At 37.8% G+C, this 20,582-nt stretch overlaps 1 protein-coding gene across 2 annotated transcripts in view; it reads right to left on the bottom strand.

The window, feature by feature from the left end:
- Nucleotides 1-20,546, bottom strand: part of ARSK (arylsulfatase family member K) — a 50,002-nt gene extending 29,456 nt beyond the window's left edge. Inside the window, exons 1-3 of one of the 2 annotated variants that reach the window (NM_198150.3) lie at nucleotides 20,243-20,546; nucleotides 9,520-9,649; nucleotides 7,598-7,757 (exon numbers count right to left, since the gene is read on the bottom strand). In NM_198150.3, the coding sequence (NP_937793.1) occupies nucleotides 7,598-7,757; nucleotides 9,520-9,649; nucleotides 20,243-20,368 (416 nt within the window). In that variant the 5' untranslated portion in view covers nucleotides 20,369-20,546. Of the gene's footprint in view, nucleotides 1-7,597; nucleotides 7,758-9,519; nucleotides 9,650-20,242 lie in introns of those variants that run through there. The other variant, XM_047416820.1, reaches the window with a different exon arrangement.

The following is a 20,582-nucleotide window of genomic DNA, read 5'->3' as shown; positions in this document are numbered from 1 at the left end:
CCTTCAGAAATGAAGAAAGTAACCGCTACAAAAAAATACTTAGGAATTAATTAAAGAAGTAAAAGATCTCTACAATGAGCATTATAAAACATTGATGAAAGCAATTGAGAAGACATAAAAAACTGAAAAGATATTCCATGTTCATGGATTGGAAGAATCAATATTGTTAAAATGTCCATACTACTGAAAGCAATTTACAGATTCAATGCAATCCATATCAAAATACCAATAACATTCTTCGTAGAAATAAACAATCCTAAAATTTATATGGAACCACAAAAAAGAAAAAACAAACAAACAAAAAACAACAAAAACAACCCAGCGTAGTCCAAGCTATGCTGAGCAAAAAGAACAAAATTGGAGGAATCATATTACCTGCCTTCAAATTATACTACAGAGCTTTAGTAACCAAAATAGCATGGTACTGGCATAAAAACAGACACGTAAGACCAATGGAACAGAACAGAGAACCCAGAAACAACTCCATACACCTACAGTGAACTCATTTTTGACAAAGGTGCCAAGAACATACATTGGGGAAGGAACAGTCTCTTCAATAAATGGTGCTGGGAAAACTGGATATCCATACGCAGAAAAATGAAACTAGATCTCTATCTCTTACCACATTAAAAATCAAATCAAAATGGATTAAAGACTTAAATCTGAGACCTCAAACTATGAAATTACTAAAAGAAAGCATTGGGGAAACTCTCTAGGACACTGGACTGGACAAATATTTCTTGAGTAATACCCCACAAACGCAGACAACTAAAATAAAAATAGACAAATGGGATCACATCAAGTTAAAAAGCTTCTGCCCAACAAGGGGAACAATAAAAAAAAAGTGAAGAGACAACCCACAGATGGGAGAAAACATTTGAAAACTATCCATCTGACAAGATATTTACAACCAGAATATATAAGGAGCTCAAACAACTTAACAGGAAAAAAATCTAATAATCGGATTAAATAATGGGCAAAAGATCTGAACAGACATTTCTTAAAAGAAGACATACGAATGGCAAATAGATATATGAAAAGATGCTCAGCAACATTGATCATTAGAGAAATGCAAATCAAAACTATAATGAGATATCGTCTCAGCTAAAATGGCTTTTATCCAAAAGTCAGGCAATAACAAATGCTGGCGAGGATATGGAGCAAAGGGAACCCTCAGACACTGTTGGTGGGAATGTAAATTAGTACAACCACCATGAGGAACCATTTGGAGGTTCCTCAAAATACTAAAAATAGAGTTGCCATATGATCCAGCAATCTCTCTAGGTATACACCCAAAAGAAAGAAAATCTGTATATCAAAGAGATATCTGCACTTCCATGTTGCTTACAGTACTAGTCACAATAAGCCAAGATTTGGAAGCAACCAAAGTGTCCATCAACAGACAAATGGATAAAGAAAATGTGGTACATATACACAATGGAGTACTATTCAGCTATAAAAAAGAATGAGATCCAGTAATTTGCAACAACATGGATGGAACTGGAGGTCATTATGTTAAGTGAAATAAGCCAGGCACAGAAAGGCAAACTTCACATGTTCTCACTTATTTGTGGGAGCTGAAAATTAAACAATCGAAGCAGAATGATGGTTTACCAAAAGCTGGGCAGAATAGTTGGGGTGGGGGCAGTGGGAATGATTAATGGGTAGAAAAAAAAATGGAAAGGATAAGATCTAATATTTGACAATAAAACAGGGTGACTATAGTCAATAATTTAATTGTACATTATAAAATGACTAAGAGTATAATTGGATTGTTTGTAACACAAAGGACAAATGCTTCGAGGGGACGGATACTCCACTTACCTTGATGTTTTCATCACGCATTATATGCCTGTATCAAAATATCTACTGTACTCCCTAAGTCTATATACTTACTATGTACATACAACAATTAAAAATACTGCTTATTTTGACTTGGCTTAGAAAAATATTAACCTACATGAGCAGACAACATACATAATTACAATGGTAAGATGAAATGATAGGGAATTTGATTTTAGATTTTCAACAAGACAGAAGCTAGGAAAAACAACACAGCAGCTTGTTTAATTTCTCTTCTGATAGCATTAGAATGTAAGTTCCATGACACTGAAGAATTTTGTGCTGTGATTGCTATTGTATTTGCATCATCTAAAAATAATGTCTGGCACATTGTAGCTGGCTCAAAAATATTAGCTTAGTGGATACTACAAATACCTGATTTTACTTTTGTAACTGAAATAAGGGTCATCTCCTAGTCTTAGTACTTTAAGGAATTCTACTTAATATTAAATTTTTTATTATACTGATGTTAGAAATTTAGTTTTTAAAATTTTCCGTATAAAATCAATTACCTCCTAATTCTTTACACTTTCTATACACAATTCTATACATTTTTTGTTAATTCTAAAAAAAAATTGATGTAATAGTGTTAAGTGGATTTGATCCCTTAGAATATGAAAGAATAAACAATATTTAAAATGTAGGCAATTATTTTAAGTGTGACATTCCTAAGACCAGGCTGACGAGCATAAAATGTCTAGTTTTAGACATGTTTTCTCAATCTCTATACTAAAGACATTTTGGACTTGATGATTCTTTGTTAGGGAAGGGGCTGTTTTCTGCATTATAGACTGTTTAGCAGCAACCTTGGCCTCTACCCACCAGATGCCAGCAAAATAACCCCGGTGTTATCAACCAAAAATGTCTCCAGACATTGTCAAATGTCTTCTTGGCAGCTAAGGGGTAGAGGTGGGGGTGGTGTATGGGGGTGAAGGGTGACCGCCCTCAGTTGAAAACCACTACTTTAGGAATAGATAGGCAACAAAATTTTACCTGAAGGCAAATACAAATGTTTCCTTTTTTTTTTGAGACGGAGTCTCGCTCTTTCACCCAGGCCGGACTGCAGTGGTGCAATCTCGGCTCGCTGCAAGCTCCGCCTCCCGGGTTCACGCCATTCTCCTGCCTCAGCCTCCCGAGGAGCTGGGACTACAGGGGCCCGCCACCACGCCCGGCTAATTTTTTGCATTTTTAGTAGAGACGGGGTTTCACCGTGTTAGCCAAGATGGTATCAATCTCCTGACCTCGTGATCTGCCCGCCTCGGCCTCCCAAAGTGCTGGGATTACAGGCGTGAGCCACCGCGCCCGGCCCAAATGTTTTCTTTCAATTGATAAGAAGACAGCAAATTTGAACTTAAACCTGTTATAACACAATACATATAATGTGAAGGGGCAGATGAGTATCAGAAATTTATAAAGCACTTAACTGTACTCCATTGGAGTTATAGAATTTCAGAGTAGAAGAACTTTTAAAGCCATCTAGTGAAAGCTCATCTGACTAAACTGGGATTCTAAGCAGATAAATTACTTGCTCAAGGTCTTATCATCAGTAAATGGCATTTTTATGAGTAATACTACCAGTATCTCTTTAACAACTGTCCAGATGAAACAACTGTGCAGCCCATAGCGATCCTAGTATGGTGTGGTGTGTCATATATAATAAGGGACACTTAATTAAATTAGTGTTCCTAAACTGGTACAAGAAGGAAGCATCGCTGATGCCTAAAAAAGACAGATGGAAGTATTATAATAATAAAGAAACCTGTAATTCTGGCTGAAAATATAAGCAGGTTCAAAAATGGCCAATTTCAGTAATAAAGAATTATAATAACTTGCATTTTGATTTTGAAAGTCAATCTATCAACAAGACTGAATGCCCCTATTTATGAAATTTGATATTTGAGAGACCATGTTTTGTTCTGAGACCCATTTTTAAGTTTACACTGAAAAGTAATGTGCTATATAATTCATATAACCTTCAGACATGCTATTAACAGCAACCTTGACCTATTTGTCAGCCAAATGTCTGTGTGGGTACATACAGCGCTCATAAAAATACTCCTGGTGGCTTATTTCAATTTCCTAAGCTCTGATGAGAGTGTGAGTAAATGAAAACATGCTTTAAGCAAGTATTGCACTGAAAACCATCTTTGACATCCCAAACATCAACATCTAAGTGTTTTTTTCCTCTACTAATTTTAGAATTCCACATGACAAAGAAAGAACTCCTAAATATTAATATTTAAAGAATTTTAAACAGTTAAAAACAGGATATCCTCTATTAGTTGTAGATATATACAAAATACTAATGAACAAGTGATATGATCCTGTGTTACACAGAATATCAATGTTTATCAAATAATAAACTGTAGGTACTTCAAAATAACTTTTTCATTCATCAAAAATTTAATTATGAACCTACAATGTACTGGCACTATGCTGGCAAATGGGAATAAAGCAGAGAAGAAGAGATAAGGTCTTTGCTCTGCATGGATAATTATCCTGCTGCGGAATATAAGTCAGGTCATATTTTAACCATGTCACATAGAAGAATAAAAGTTACAGGGAATATATGGCATTCAATCTTAGATTTCTTTTATTATAAACAGTTGTATCTTACTTTAGATTAAGCTTACATTCTAAAAAGGAGAAAGATTTTAAAGAGAAATTTGTGAAACTCCATAAAGTAACTAGCAATGCAAAGCACTTTAGAAAAATGATGGTTATGGCCGGGTGCAGTGGCTCACGCCTGTAATCCCAACACTTTGGGAGGCCTAGGCGGGCAGATCATGAGGTCAGGAGTTCCAGAACAGCCTGACCAACATGGTGAAACCCCATCTCTACTGAAAATACAAAAAATTAGTTGGGCGTAGTGGCCCATGCCTATGATCCCAGCTACTCAGGAGGCTGAGGCAGGAGAATCGCTGGAACCCGGGAGGCGGAGGTTGCAGCGAGCCAAGATCACGCTATTGCACTCCAGCCTGGGTGACAGAGCGAGACTGTGTCTCAAAAAAAAAAAAAAAAGATGGTTATATAAATGTTAGACTGCAATTCTGGTTAAGCCATTTTCATAATAATAATCTTTCCATTGAGTAAATGCTTAATCTGTGCCAGGCACTGTTAAATATTTTATATTATTCCGCTTAATCCTTGTATAGTATCTTTTAACTCATATAAAACACAGTCATCCAATGAGGTAGGCATCATAATTCTTACAGATAACTTACAGAACACTGACACTTAATGCCAGGTAACTTGCCCAAGAATTCTTACAGAACACTGACACTCAATATCAAGTAACTTGCCCAAGGTTACAAGGATAGTGAGCAGGGAAGCTGGGTATCTGACTGCTCTGATGGACACAAAGCCTGTGCTCCTCCTCCTACATGTACTTCTTCTCCCTCCCTTTCTTTCTGATATTAGCAGGGAAGAGTAGGGGAACAAGATTTTGCACAGAGAAACTAGCTCATGCAATAGTCCAGAAGTAGTGAAAAGCATATTAAGGAAAGTTTTAAAAGACCAGGTGCATACTGAGGGATGGAGAGAGTGGTATGAAATGAGACTGGAGGTAGACAGGGGCTAGATCATGTAGGGTCTCATAAATCATGTTGTGGATTTGGGATTTTAACTAACCTGAAGAGAAAAACCATTGAAAGATTTTAAGCAAGTGTGTCATGTAATCAGACATACATCTAAGAAAGATCATTCTGGTTGCCTATAGAAAATGGGTCAGATAGAGTAAGAAGAGTCCAGGTAGAAGCCCATTTTAATAGTTTAGGCAAGAGATGACAGTAGCTTGGTGGAGAGAGTTGAGAAGTGAGTAAGTTGGAGAAATAATTCAGAAGTAGAACTGACTACATTTGGCAATGCATTAGAAGACAGAGTAAAGAATAGGAATGTCAGGATTGCTTCTGCATTTCCTGTACTGCCATCTTTTAGATTTTGGAGGACAGAAAAGGGAAGAAATTAAACAGTAACTAGGAGAGCAATTTTAATGTTCAGATTATTTTAGATTATTTTAGTATCTGTTTACCCAAAACTCACTGTATTCATCTCCTAGAACTGTCAGAATAAATTATTGCAAACTGTGTGGCTTAAAACAACAGGAACCTGTTCTCCCACAGTTCTGGAAGCTATAAGTCTAAAATCAAGGTGTCAGCAGAGACACATTCCCTCTGAAGACTCTGGCAGAATTTTTCCTTGCCTCTTCCTAACTTATGGTGACTCCTGGCAATCTTTCATCCTTTGGCTTGTAGCTGCCTCACTACTATCTCTGCCTCTGTCTTAACATTGTTTTCTTCTCTGTGTGCCTATGTCCTTGTTCCTCTTCTAATAAAGACAGCAGTCATGATTTCATCTGGAGATCCTTACTAATTACATCTGCAAATAAGGTCTATTTTCCAATAAGATCACATTCTGAAGTTCTTTCTAGGTGGTCACGAAATTTGGGGGAACATTATTCAACTCACTACATTCATCAACTATTTTTGTTAACTTAATTTTTTCTTATTATTACTTATCATCATCATTAGTATCATCATCACCATCACAACAACCATTACAAATAACCCTCAATTAGCACTTGCCTAGGTAAGAAAGAGGCACTGTAATCCCTAATATGTATTCGTGTTGGGGTTCACAAGTGTTGGGGGATCCCAAGATCACACCGAAGTTCAGTAGGAGGAATTGCAGGACCCAGAATACAGCTGCGCTCATGGCTATAATTTATTACATAAAAGGATACACAGCAAAATCAGCAAAGGGAAAAGGTGCTTAGGGCAAAGTCCAGAAGAAACTAGGCACAAGTGTCCGGTTGGAGTCTCAGAGGACATAATTCTTCCACCATCAAATTGCGACGACACATGTGAAGTGTTGTTTCTGCTCATTAGAGAATCAGTACCCAAGTTTTTTAGGCGGGGGTGCTGATTATATAAGCACCCTCTACTTCGCACATACCAAAATTCCATACTCCTGGAAGGAAAGCTGGTATTCGGCATAAACCACAATGCACAAATGCTCCAGGCACACAATAGGCCACTCTTATCAGTTAAGGAATAGTGGGAATACTCCAGAAATCCAAGTTCCTAGATGCCAGACAGGGGCCAACCTTCCAAGCAGGCCTTTCTAAGGAGAGCAGTCTCAGGCCTCCTATGTTAGCTCTTTTCTGAACTTATTGATACATTTAATCCTCACAGCAAAGAAATTAAAGTACAGTGTCAACATTTAGACAATGTGTCCAAGATCAGACTACTACAATGCTAGTAGTAAACAGAAACTATAATTCAAAAGCAGGCAATCTGATTCTTGACCTCTACTCTTAACCACTATGCTTGGCTGCCTGGTTTTTGAGGACTTAGTAAAATGAAAGAAAAAAAAAAGTTACAATAGACTCAAGTTAGAGAGAACTGACCAACGAAAGCAGCAAGAAGGCTATGGTTTTAAAAACAGATTTTAAAATTAATAATACAGTAGCCATTAAAGGAAATTCAATGAAAATAAAGCGTGGGCTAAACGAGTTTACAAACACTATTTATAGACCTTTAATGCTTAAGAAAAACAAAATGACTAGTATATTAGCCATTTTAATGTTTTAGGAAGATGAAAGAAAGCTAAAATTTCAGCCTAATTAACACAATGAAGGGATTAAGAGATTTACTTTCACCTTTGTGGAAAAATAAAAAAATTAAAGTCAAAAAGAGTACATGTACACGCTATGGCAGAGGGCAGTCCATGATGATTATTTTTGTTTTATTTTTACCTAATGGAGTGATGTCCTGAAGTATAGTCCAGTTTCCCAAATTTCTGTGTTCGGTAGCCATGCCTCTCCATGACATCCATCCATGTTGTATAATTTGGATCTAGACCCTTAAAATTATTCCAAGATTCTGTTAAGTGAGTGAAGAGGCCACTCCACATTGCTGAGAAAAAAAAAAAAAGGAATTGGGATTAAGGTAAAGCTTAACAATTTAACTATTAGGACAATTACTCTGAGAGAGCAGTCCACTAGTGAAGAGCTTATGCTCTGCAGTAAGACGTACCCAGATTAGGTGCCTTACCAAACATTTCTGATTGTTACCTCATTTTATCAGAGTGATACTCTGTGGGGAGTTACTATTTCCATTTTACAGATGAGTTGACTAACGCTTAGTGCTTAAGTTACTTAAGGTAAATACAGCTGGAATTAAATACAAAGCATGTGTGACTAGAGGCCTCTTTCAATCATAAAAACAATCCCTAAGTATTTATTGGTTAATTTTCTAAATCAGACAATTGAAGTACAGATCTCATTTCCCCAACATCCTTAAGGATCTTCCCTTATTCCCTGTCCTTTTGCTGGCTTTCCACAAAAAACGTAGTGTGTTATGCCTTATCTCTCACTTTCTACAACTATGATTGTTTATTCAATAAACACTTTTTTTCCTTTTCCCATTTCTGTGTACATAAATAGAAAGTTAGAATAAGCTTTCTGTTTTCATCTAGCAAGATGTTTTCTGAGAGGTGGGATGGGGGATTACCTGGGTTTGAATCCCAATAACACCAGTTACTGAGTGGTCTTTGACAAATTATTTGACCTTGCTTACTCTTCAAAATATACTTCTTCCAGGAAAAACAACATCTAACATTTTGAGACATCTAGGGTTCATTGGCCACTTTCTCATTCGTTATTTAATGTGATGCTCAGAACAACCCTGTGAGGTACACAGTATACACAGCAATTTGCAGATAAGAAGACTGAGTGACTTGCTTGAGGATTAGCATCCAGGTCATTGTCTCACCCTAGCCCACTGCTCATTCTACTTTACAGTTAACAAAACTGTTTTTTAATATGCCTGGTCCTTCATTATTGAAATATCATTTACAATATAGTTTAGTTTCTTTTCATCACTGGTAATAATATAGTTGTTAGTGTTGAAAATATAGGTGAAAGAAGTTATAACTCAAATCACAGAGAAAATCATCTCATTTACAGACAAACCAAATCACTGAGTGCCATTTATGTGTTCCAAGGCAACAAACATAAACCAGAAGACAGGGGAAAAGGAAAACAACCATCAGACAATAGATAGAATTTATAAAAATGGCAGTTTTTTCCTATTTGTTAATTATTCATGGCTTAATGTCACTGACATTCTGCCAATAAAACTATGCCTATTTGTTAAATTATTATAATAAAAGTGAACAATTTGACTTGGGATAAAAGTGAATTGAGACGGAAAGAAAGAGGTAAAGTATGTAATCTGAAATAATAAGAAAAAATTCAGGTAAATCTGAATATAAGTTGTAACTACTTTATGGTATACTCTAATGTTCATAGAAGTCCTCCCAATTACCTATACCGTTACTGAAAAATTTCCCTGGAAACAGAACTCTTCTAGGAAATATGAGTATTCCCTCATTTTCTTGGATGGCCAAAAGATTCTTAGTCCCCAGTCACAAGGAAATAAAACGGTAACACATGAACTAGACACCTTTCTAAATGATAAAAATTCCTACTCTTGAAAAATACAATTTGAACAACCCCAATAGCCAATATATACCTTAAAATGCACATCTTTTATATTAAAACAATTTTATTGAGGCCAAATACAACTATTCTACTTTTAGGTATAATCTTTTAAACTGTGAATATATTTTCAGTGTGTAGCCACTTTCTCCCATTCATATTAAGGATGTTCATACCTGCGCGTGATGGGCAACAAATTGGAGAGTTTGTGTAGGCATTCAGAAAGGAAGTCCCACGTGTCTTCATAAAGTTGATAAAAGGAAGTTTCACTACCTGACTTCCTGGATGAAATGTTAACCTTCCATCCTGGAAATAAAGAAATTTAATTAGCATTGATTACATTACCAAAGAAGAAAATTATTTTCTTTAACCATAAAATTTACAATAGCAGAAGACTTCAATATGATTTTAAGAATCCTCCAAAGATAAAAACAAAACAAGTATAGAGGGTGTTTCCAGTATCTGGTACATAAATAGCTAGAATTCAGTGCAGCGTTACACTTGGATTCATTTAACTACAGTAAATAAAGGACTTCCTGGAATGTTCTTTTGGGGGATGATGAACTGACTAAGTATTTATTGAATACTTAACTATGTGCCAGACACTGCAAAATCTGAGGATGCAATGGTGAATAAAACAGAGTCTTAGGCCCCATGAAGCTTACAGTCTAGTGGGAGAGGCAAAAAGTATACTGGCAAATAAACTATGAATAATTACAAATTATGACGTGTGCTTTGAAAAAAATCCGAGATACAGAAGGACAAGAGAGACCTACGTTAGACAGTGTGGACAGGGAAGCCTTCTCTGGGATGTATGAGACCTAAAGAATGAACAGGATCCAGCTATTCAAAGAATTTAAAGGACATACAAAGTTTGAGATATCTGTGAGATGGAAGTGGTGATATCAATTAGGCAGCTGGGGTGGGGTGTGGTGGCTCATGCCTATAATCCCAGCACTTTGGGAGGCTGAGGTGGGAGGATAGCTTGAGCTCAGGAGGTCAAGACCAGCCTGGGCAACACAGGGAGACCCTGTTTCTACAAAAAAAAATTAGGCAGCTTGATAAGTGAGTCTGAAGATTAGGAGATGTTTGGGTTGGAGATATGCATTTTGGAGATGAACTGGGAATTGAAGAACTCACGTTGGTAAAGAGCAAGAACAGAAAAAAGAATGTTCCAGTCCTGGAGTTCTATCTATTATATGTTTTCAACATAATTATAAATAAATTCCAGTTTAGAACATGAGCCAACCCAAAATATAGAATATATCTAAATCCTTGAGATAGCTGAGATTCCCAAATAGAGATATAAAGTAGGCTGTTGGATACAGATAGGAATCTGGAGTTGAGAGAAGTCTATCTTGGCGAAATAAAACTTGGGAGTATTTAACATATTCATGGTTTTGAAAACTGTGAGATTAAATAAAACCTTTCAGGGAGAGAGAAGGAGGGGAAAGAAAAGGGTCTAGAGGAAGCTATAAGGAGTCCCAAATAAGAGGGGAAACAGCATGGGAAACTGAGAAAGAATGGCCAAGGGAGGAAGATGTGAGGAGACCGAGTGCCATGACAGCTGAGAGAAGGCAGTGTGCCAAGAAAGAGGTAACATCTGCTGTGTTGAGAATGCACCTGAAATGAGGCCAGAAAATGCACATTGGAATTGGCAGTATGGAGACAGCTGGTGACCCTGACAAGAGCACTTTCGATGCGTGGTAAAGATGAACAGCTAAACTGGAAAGGGGAAGGAATGGGAGGCAGGAAAGTGAGGCAGCAGGGGGAAAAAAGAAAAGCTCTTCTGAGAAGTTATTTTGCAAAGCAAAACAGAAAAACGGGAGGGATGTTAGAGAATGGTGTGTTAGCTGGAAGAAAATGTGGGATTAAAGTCAGTTCTTTTTTTAAGATGGGGAAAATTATGCATGTCTTATGTCAAAATAAATTACCACTTCTAGCAAGAGTAATCATTGAATGCTAAGCAAATAACTACTGATTTCCTCAATGATGAGCTAGAAAGGCGAAGACAAAAGTGCATAGTGGCCAGGCACAGTGGCTCATGCCTGTAATCCCAGCTCTTTGGGAGGCTGAGGCAGGCAGATCACCTGAGGTCAGGAGTTCAAAGCCAGTCAGGCCAACATGGTGAAACCTTGTCTCTACTAAAAATACAAAAATTAGCTAGGCGTGGTGGCAGGTGCCTGTGATCCCAGCTACTCGGGAGGCTGAGGCAAGAGAATCACTTGAATCCGGGAAGCAGAGGTTGCAGTGAGCTGAGATGGCGCCACTGCACTCCAGCATGAGTGACAGAGCAAGACTCCATCTCAAAAAAAAAAAAAAAAAAAAAAGTGCATAGCCCTCCCTCATGAGAATTTCTTTAAGCCCTTAAATTCAAATTCTCAGAAATTTATCCTCACAAATTCCAAATGTATATATGTCTTATGGTTACAATCTTTTGAACATGGGGAGATAACAATTTGTGGCCACTGCCTAGAATCTAGACAACCCAGGCTTATCTGGTTGGGGGATGGAGCAGAAGGTCACAAGGTAGAACTGTCTTAAAGGTGCTATATAATTCACATATTGGGATTTGGACTCCAAGTCCTGCAGGCTAGGTTCAAATTGGTGTAACTACCACTGCAAATGACTACTGCAGCATATCAATAACTAATGTGTCAGATTAAAATCGATGTTAGTGATTTCTTGACTCATCTCTATGACTAGTACAGGGACATTATCTGTATCAAAAGCAGGCTGGAAAGCAGGACTCTTTGAAATATAGTGGCAGAGATAACCAGAAAGGGAGGGGGCGACTGCCGTCATGTGGGAAAGTTCCCAACGATTCCATCAGTGAAAGGTGATCTATGTTAAGATTGCTGTCTGAGATATATATAAGGCAGTGAGCGGTATGCAAATATTCAGTGAATGAAATGAAATGAATCTCTAATCCAGAGATTTGTTCAATTTAAAAAAGAAGACAAATTTATGCTCAAAATTCAACAGTGTATTTTTGCAAAGCTTAATAAACTGGATTAAGCATATCAATTGCAAAATTTGGTTCCTAGGAAATATTTAAATTATGATATACATATTCTCAATATCAGAAATATCAATAATACTCTAAACGAAGACCAAAATGTTATTAGAGAAAATATTTAAAAATTTTCTAGAAGTTTTGGTTTTTGACTTCATGTAGTTTTTACACACTAACAAATCATTTAAAAACTAGGCTACTACTAGTACTGCTGATAATGGTATCAATGGGAGACGGTCAGTAGAATATTTCATTCTGAACTGAAAGGCATCTTAACACAGCTGGCTGATGAAAAAGAGAGAAAGTAAGTTTTCCATAGTATGTTAATGTGGTTTACAATGGATAGCCAGTTATAAGTGAAAACACAGTTCTGTCAAATTTAGTTGGCAGAGAAAATCTTGAAAAATGGCTTTTGTTATAACTTCTATAACTTACTAATAGCCCATTTCAATTTTCTCAAGGCCATTCCTATGGTTCAAACAAATTAAGCACTCTAAAATTGGGCATTTAAGAAATAAAAATGACCCATTAATTGGCTTTCTGCAAAAGTTACAGAAATGGTACCAACTGCCTTTAGTTGCTGCATTCTGCTCTTGTTAATTAATTCTCATGGGTCCACACATTTTTCCCCCTTGGGGTGGGTAAGTCTTTTTGTAGATACAATTTTGTGATTTTGATTGCTCCTTCTGAACCATGGCTTGTACTCGGTTCCTTATCATTATGGGCCATGCAGAATCAGAGAAGTTTAGGTTTGAATTAATCATCCTAATAAAAGAATGTAACAGCAACTTTAATTTGCCATGTCAGCATGGCAAGACTGCTTATAGTGTTCTTCCCAGATCTGTCCATCAGACTGAATGAGATTCTCACTAGACTCTCTAGTAAACACTCCTGTACCTACTCTCCCCTGCCACTCCTGAAACCTCAGCAAAACTAAAACTGATACAGGTGCAGTGGCAGGGAGTAGAGGTAGGAGTAGGAGTGGGGATGCAGAAGATGCCTCTGTCCTTTAAGACCCAGGCAGAGATGCTTCTTTTCTATTATTTATTTAATTTTAAATTTTTATTTATTTTTTTTGAGACAGAGACTCACCCTGTCACCAAGGCTGGAGTCCAGTGGCACAATCTCGGTTCACTGCAACCTCTGTATTCTAGGTTTAAGCGATTCTCCTGACTCAGCCTCCCGAGTAGCTGGGCAGGTGCCCACCACCATGCCTGGCTAATTTTTGTATTCTTAGTAGAGATGGGGTTTCACCATGTTGGCCAGGCTGGTCTCGAACTTCTGACCTCAGGTGATCTGCTCGCCGTGGCTTCCCAAAGTGCTGGTATTACAGGTGTGAACCACCGTGCCTAGCCTGTTTTCTGTTCTTTTAAAAATGGGTTTATTAAGATATAATTAACACACTAAACAACTCATCCATTTAAAGTGTACAATTCAATGGTTTTTAGTGTATTCAGAAAGCTGTGCAACCATTACCATAGTCGATTTTAGAATGTTCTCATCATCCCCAAAAGACATTCTGCACTCTTTAGCCATTACTCTCTATTTTCCTGAAGCCTAGGCAACCACTAACCTACTTTCCGGCTCTATGTTTGCTTTTTCTGGACATTTCATATGAATGGAATCATACAATATGTGGTCCTTTTTGACTAGCTTCTTTCATTTAGCATAATCTTTTTAAGTTTCATCTATATTGTAGCATATACCATATTTTTTATTGTTGAATAATATTACCAAATTTTATTTATCCATTTATCAATTGATGGGCATTTGGGTTGTTTATACTGTTTGGCCATTATGTATAATGAACATTATAATGCTATGAACATTCATGTAGAAGTTTTTGTGTAGACTTATATTTTCATTTCCCTTGAATATACACCTAGGAGTAAAACTGCTGGATTATACAGCAACTCTATGGTTAACCATTCGAGAAACTGCCAAACTGATTTCCAATGGCTGCGTGATCCTACCAGCAGGGTATGGGTTGCAATTCCTCCACATTGTTGCCATCTCTAGTTATTGTCTTTTTCATTATAACCATCCCAGTGGGTATAACTGGTGTCTCACTGTGGTTTTGATTTACATTTCCCGAATGATTAATGATGTTGAGCATCTTTTCATGTATTTATTTGTCATCTGCGTATCTTCTATGAAGAAATGTCTATTAAGATCTTTTGGCCGGGCATGGTGGTTCATGCCGGTAATCCCAGCACTTTGGGAGGCCTAGGCGGGTATATCCCAAGGTCAGGAGATCGAGACCATCCTGGCTAATACGGTGAAACCCCATCTCTACTAAAAATAAAAATTAAAAAATTATCTGGGTGTGGTGGCGGGCACCTGTAGTCCCAGCTACTCAGGAGACTGAGGCAGGAGAATGGCTTGAACCTGGGAGGCAGAAGTTGCAGTAAGCCGAGATTGCGCCACTGCACTCCGGCCTGGGTGACAGAGCGAGACTCCATTTCAAAAAAAAAAAAAAAAAAAAGATCTTTTGCCCATCTTTTAATTGCCTAATCCACAATCACAAAGACTTACACCTATGTTTTCTTGTAAGAGTTTTTTAGTTTTACATTTGATTAATCAATCAATTTACTTAAAGTTTTTTTTTGTGTGTTTGTGTATGGTGCAAGGCAGGGTCCAACTTCATTCATATTTTTTTTTTCCAGCACCATTTGTTTAAAAGATCATTCTTTCCCTATTAAATGGTCTTGGCACCCTTGTTAAAAAATCAATTTACTATAAATATGAGAGTTTATTTCTGGACTTTAGATCCTATTCCATTGATCTGTATGTCACCTATCCTTAAGCCAATAACATACTACATTGATTGGTGTAGTTAAGATATAAGCTTTAAAATTGGGAGGTGTATGTCTTTCAACTTTGTTCTTTTTATTTCAAGATTTATTTTTGGCTATTCTGGGTCCCTTGAATTACCATATGAATTTTAGGATGGGTTTTTCCATCTCTGCAGAAAAAAAAAAAGGTTCTAGGGATTTTGACAGGCATTGAATTGAATCTGTAGATCATTTTGGTGAGTACTGCTATATTAACAATATTAAATCTTCTGATCCATGAAAAGGGGATGTCTGTTCATTTATTTAAATGTTCTTTTATTTCTTTCAACAATGTTTTGTAGTTTTCGGAGTATAAGAACTATATTTCCTTGATTAGATTTATTTTAAGTATTTCATCCATTCTGATGTTACTTTAAATGGAACTGTTTTCTTAATTTGACTATAAGTGTGTTAATCAATTAAGTATATAAAATACAATTTATTTTTGTACACTGATCTGGTATACAGCCTTACTAATTTATTAGTTCAATAGTTTTGTAGTGGAGCCGTAGAATCCTACATACAAGATTACTGCAAGTATAGATACTTTTACTTCTTCCTTTCCAATGTGAATGCCTTTTATTTAATCTTTTTTCTAATTCTGTGGCTAGAACCCCCAGTACAATGCTGTATAGCAGTGGTGAGAACACACATCCTTGTCTTCTTCCTGATCTTAGTCAGAAAACTGATTTTTTTTTTCTTTTAACCATTCAGTGTAAAGTTCTGGCTTTTTTTGTAGATGCCTTTTAGTTCCCTTCTATTTCTAGCCAGTTGAATGCATAAGGATTGTCAAATCTTCTCAAATGCTTTTTCTGCATCTATTGAGATGATCACATGGGTTTTGTCCTTTATTCAGTCAACATGATGTATTACATTAATTGATTTTCAGATATTAAACTCACTGTACATTTTGGGGACAAATTCCACTTGGTAATGGTGAATAATCCTTCTTACATACTAATGAATTTGGTTTCCTAGTACATTTGTCCCTTGGTATCTGCAGGGGATTGTTTCCAGGACCTCCCAAGGATACCAAATCTTTGCGGGCTCAAGTCCCACAGTCAGCCCTGTGGAACCCATGGATAGGAAAAGTCAAGTTCTGTGAGTTCCACATCCCATAAATACCATATATTTTTATCTGAGATTGGTGGAATCTGCGGATTCAGAACCTGTGAATATGGAGGGCCAAATCCATTTTGTTGAGGATCTTTGCTCTTATATTCCTAAGGGATACTGGTCTGTGGGTTTCTTTCCTTGTGATGTATTCGTGGCTTTGGAATCAGGCATGAACTGTTTTTTTGTTTTTGTTTTTTGAGATGGAGTCTTGCTCTTTTGTCCATGCTGGAGTGCAATGGCACGTCTCGGCTCACTGCAACCTCTGCCTCCTGGGTTCAAGCAATTCTCCCTGCCTCAGCCTCCCGAGTAGCTGGGATTACAGGTGCCTGCCACCACGCCTGGCTAATTTTTGTATTTTTAGTAGAGACAGGGTTTCGCCATGTTGGCCAGGCTGGTCTCGAACTCCTGATCTCAGGTGATCCACCCACCTCGGTCTCCCAAAGTGCTGGGATTACAGGTGTGAGCCACCGCGCCCGGCCAAACTGGTCTTATAGTTTGGAAGTGTTCTCTCCTAATTTTTGGAAGAGTAGATGAAGAATTAGTATTAATTATTCTTTAAGTATTTGGTAGAATTTATCAGTGAAACCGTTTGGGTCTGTGCTTCTCTTTGTTGGTAGTTTTAAAATTACCAGTTTACCCTCTTTACTTCTTATAGGTCTATTCAGATTGCCTATTTCTTCTTGAGTCAGTTTCAGTAGTTTCTGCCTTCCTAGCAATTTGTCCATTTCATTTATCTAATTTGATGACATACAGTTGTTGTATGTAAGTATTCCCTTGTAATTCTTTTATTTCTTAAGATAATGTAACCATTCTCTTTCATGATTTTAGTCATCTAGCTCTTTTGTCTTTTTTCTTGTTCAGTATAGCTAAGGTTTGTCAATTTTGCTGATTTTGTCTAAGAACCAATTTTTGGTCTCATTGATTTTCTCTACTATTTTTCCATCCTCTGTTTCTTTAATTTCTGCCCTAATCCTTATTATTTCCTCCATTCTGCTTGCTTTGCAGAAGCTTGTTTGGTCTTCTCAGCTTGTCTCTCCTGGTATGGAACCTCTGTCCTACTAGAGAGCTAGGGCCAGGGCAATTAGGGCCCTAGGATTCTCAACTTTCCGCACTTGGCATAAAGCCTCTGTCCTGTAAGTGGGGGCTGACTGAAGTAAGGGAGCCCTCAACTTCTCAGCTGCATTCATTAGGAATTTAACCTCTCCAACTTGGATTAGGAGAAGATGAGAAATCTCACAGCCTGTCCCTTTTGGTGAGATACCATAACTGGTGATTGGGAGCCGAGGGGGAGTAGTCCTATCTTCTTGGCCACACCCACCTGAGTGAAACCTCTGTCAAAACTATAGTTCACTGCCACAGACCCTTCTTGCTATTCTTACCAAGTTTTCATAGATTTTCTTGAATAAATGTTTCTTCATTTGGTGTATGACCTTAGGACAGTTTCCAGACACTTTAAGTGTTTCAAATATTTAATAGTTTTTATGTATAGTTTAAAAAAGAGTTTTCATTTGGTTTGCTTGTTTTCTTGGGAGTTGATCTACAAAGCTCTTGCGTTGTTATCCTGAAAGTAAAACCAATTTGCTATTTTCTTCCTACAATTATTATCCAGCTTAACTGCTCTATCTTAGCCTGCAGAGTTTTAGAAATGATAAATCACAGTGTCAAGAATCTAACAGCATACCAAACTGGTATAATCATAGAGAGAGGAATTATTTTAAGTTTAAAGACCAACATTTTTACTATATAGTTGAATATACCTAAAACAAAAACTTCAAAGAAACTGTAAGCTGCACTCAGGACTAGCATTATTTCTAGTAATATTACAGTCTTATTTTCAAACACATTGATATATACATATTATATGTTTGGATAAAGCAAATAAGTAATTGCATTAATGCATTTAGACCAAAATATTTGGCATAAAACAAAAAAGATATAAGTATAAAAATCAAAGAATAAACTTGTAATCTTAAATTTGAATGGAAAGTATCAGTATGATCTCACAATTTATTTTTCTCATTCTAAAATATTATATACTTTCTAGATTTGTCCACTGGAAAGGTCTAGATGCAATGAACACCCTAACACTCAGACTGTGGTCTCTAAATACAAGATGGGACAGGAAATATGTATTGTGGACATGGAACTCTGTTAAAGCAAGCTGTCAAATACTAATGGGGATGGGTCAAAAGGACTCAGAACCACCTGAAGGGGCTTCCACTGGCCAAAGATAGGACAGTTTGAATATTAACAAGTATGTGAATGCAAAAATTTTTTTTATTTTTTATTTTTTAAAAATTTTTTTATTTTTATTTTTATTTTTTTTTCGAGACGGACTCTCGCTCCGTCGCCCAGGCTGGAGTGCAGTGGTGCGATATCAGGTCACTGCAAGCTCCGCCTCCCAGGTTCACGCCATTCTCCTGCTTCAGCCTCCCGAGTAGCTGGGACTACAGGCGCCCGAAACCACGCCCGGCTAATTTTTTTGTATTTTTAGTAGAGACGGGGTTTCACTGTGTTAGCCAGGATGGTCTTGATCTCTTGACCTCGTGATCCGCCCACCTCGGCCTCCCAAAGTGCTGGGATTACAGGCGTGAGCCACCGCGCCCGGCCGTGAATGCAAAAAATTTAAGCACAAATATAGAAAAATCTATGCATTCATACTACACTAAAAAAAATAACAAACCTATATATCTCAGTCATCTTTGGAAGTTTCTGGGATGTTGTGATCCACATTCGGATTCCCTTTTAGGAATGAACAATTGCCTCTGCTGAAGACAGCTGCTTTGCCCAACACCATGCCCCATTCTAGGAGCAGCCCACAACCAGTGGCCATCCAACATGCAGGTGGAAAGGTCTGTTCTCCTCACTCCTATTGGAAAGCAGCTCTGAAGCACCATACTAGTTTGAGAACTGTCATTCATAAGATGGCAACAAAATTCAGCTTCTCCTCTGCACAATCCTGCTTCCTTCATTTGCCTTTGATTACAAGAGCACTCTGTAATAAAATGCCATCTAGTCAATTTCCAGTACTGCCCATTCTCTAAGTTTAAATCACAAAGATAACTTTAAGTAATATTTTCAAAAAATCCCATGGGCACATCCAGACTATGTAATTTTAATCATCAGGAATCTACGAGAAAGGAAATACAACATATGATTACAAACACTCTTTAGTGCCAGATATGCTTAACACCAACATCTGTGTGACCACAGTAACACCGAGTGATAATAAACTAATATTACAATTAATAACCAAACAATTGTCTAAGCAGCACTTTTTAAAACATGGATCATCCTAAAAGCATCGCGTAAGGTTGACAGTAGCACCTTTGGCTTGGGAAAGTTTCAAAAACTGTTTAAGTTTGGGATTCAGCCACATTACCAACACACACACATACACACAATTTCTCTGGAATACGGGGGAGTGAATCAAGTTATACCAACGATTCCATTTGAATCAGCACTAACAGGATTATCACAGACCTGGGTAATAAAAATAAACTTTCTTCACTTCTCACCCAAACATGAATTCCTGCAAACTTGAGGTGAACTGGAAAATGACTTTTGGAAAGCTAACACGCTTTTATGGAGATGCAGAATGTTATTTTACCACACAATTAAACCAAACGGGGGTATGGACTGAAAGTTCATTAGTCGTGGTAAAATAATTTAGCGAATCGAGGTCAGTATTAAAAAAAAAAGATCTGCAAAGATGTTTTCAGTGTTTCACTATTGTTTTACATGTTTGCATAGGTATGTGGTGTACGTGTGAGTACACGGGGCCTCACATAAAATGTATTTCTTTCTTTGCATCGGGGTAAAAGGTGTTTGAAAATGTCTCAGGTTCTGCTCCCCAAAGCCTGCAGCACAGGCGGCGGCGGTGAGGTCGCCGATCCCCAGCGGGGCGCCCCTCCCCTGCCTCGCGGTACTTACGAAGGAGTCGCTCACGACCAGCACCACATTGGGCGCTTTGGCTGCTCTCCGCCTCTGCTCCCCTGCTCCGGGGGCCAGTACCGCCAGCGCCAAGGCTGCGACCACCGACACCCACAGCAGTAGCATCGCCGGTAGCGGTTCTGAGAGCCTGCCGCCGGGCCAGCCGCCTCCCTCTGGCGTTCTCTCCCTAGCAGAGCAGGGCAGGGACAGCGAACAACTCCCAAAGCTTGCAGTTTGGTTGCTTGATAGTAACGCCGAGCTTCACCCGCAGAACTACAACTCCTATCAGGCGGAGAGCGCGCACATGCGCAACAGAGAAATTCCCGCTTTTACCCACGTT

The sequence above is a fragment of the Homo sapiens genome, chromosome 5 (assembly GCF_000001405.40).
Source record: "Homo sapiens chromosome 5, GRCh38.p14 Primary Assembly".
Taxonomy (NCBI): Eukaryota; Metazoa; Chordata; class Mammalia; order Primates; family Hominidae; genus Homo; species Homo sapiens.
Note: the sequence above shows the minus strand (reverse complement) of the source record. Positions and strands in the feature narration are given on the sequence as shown.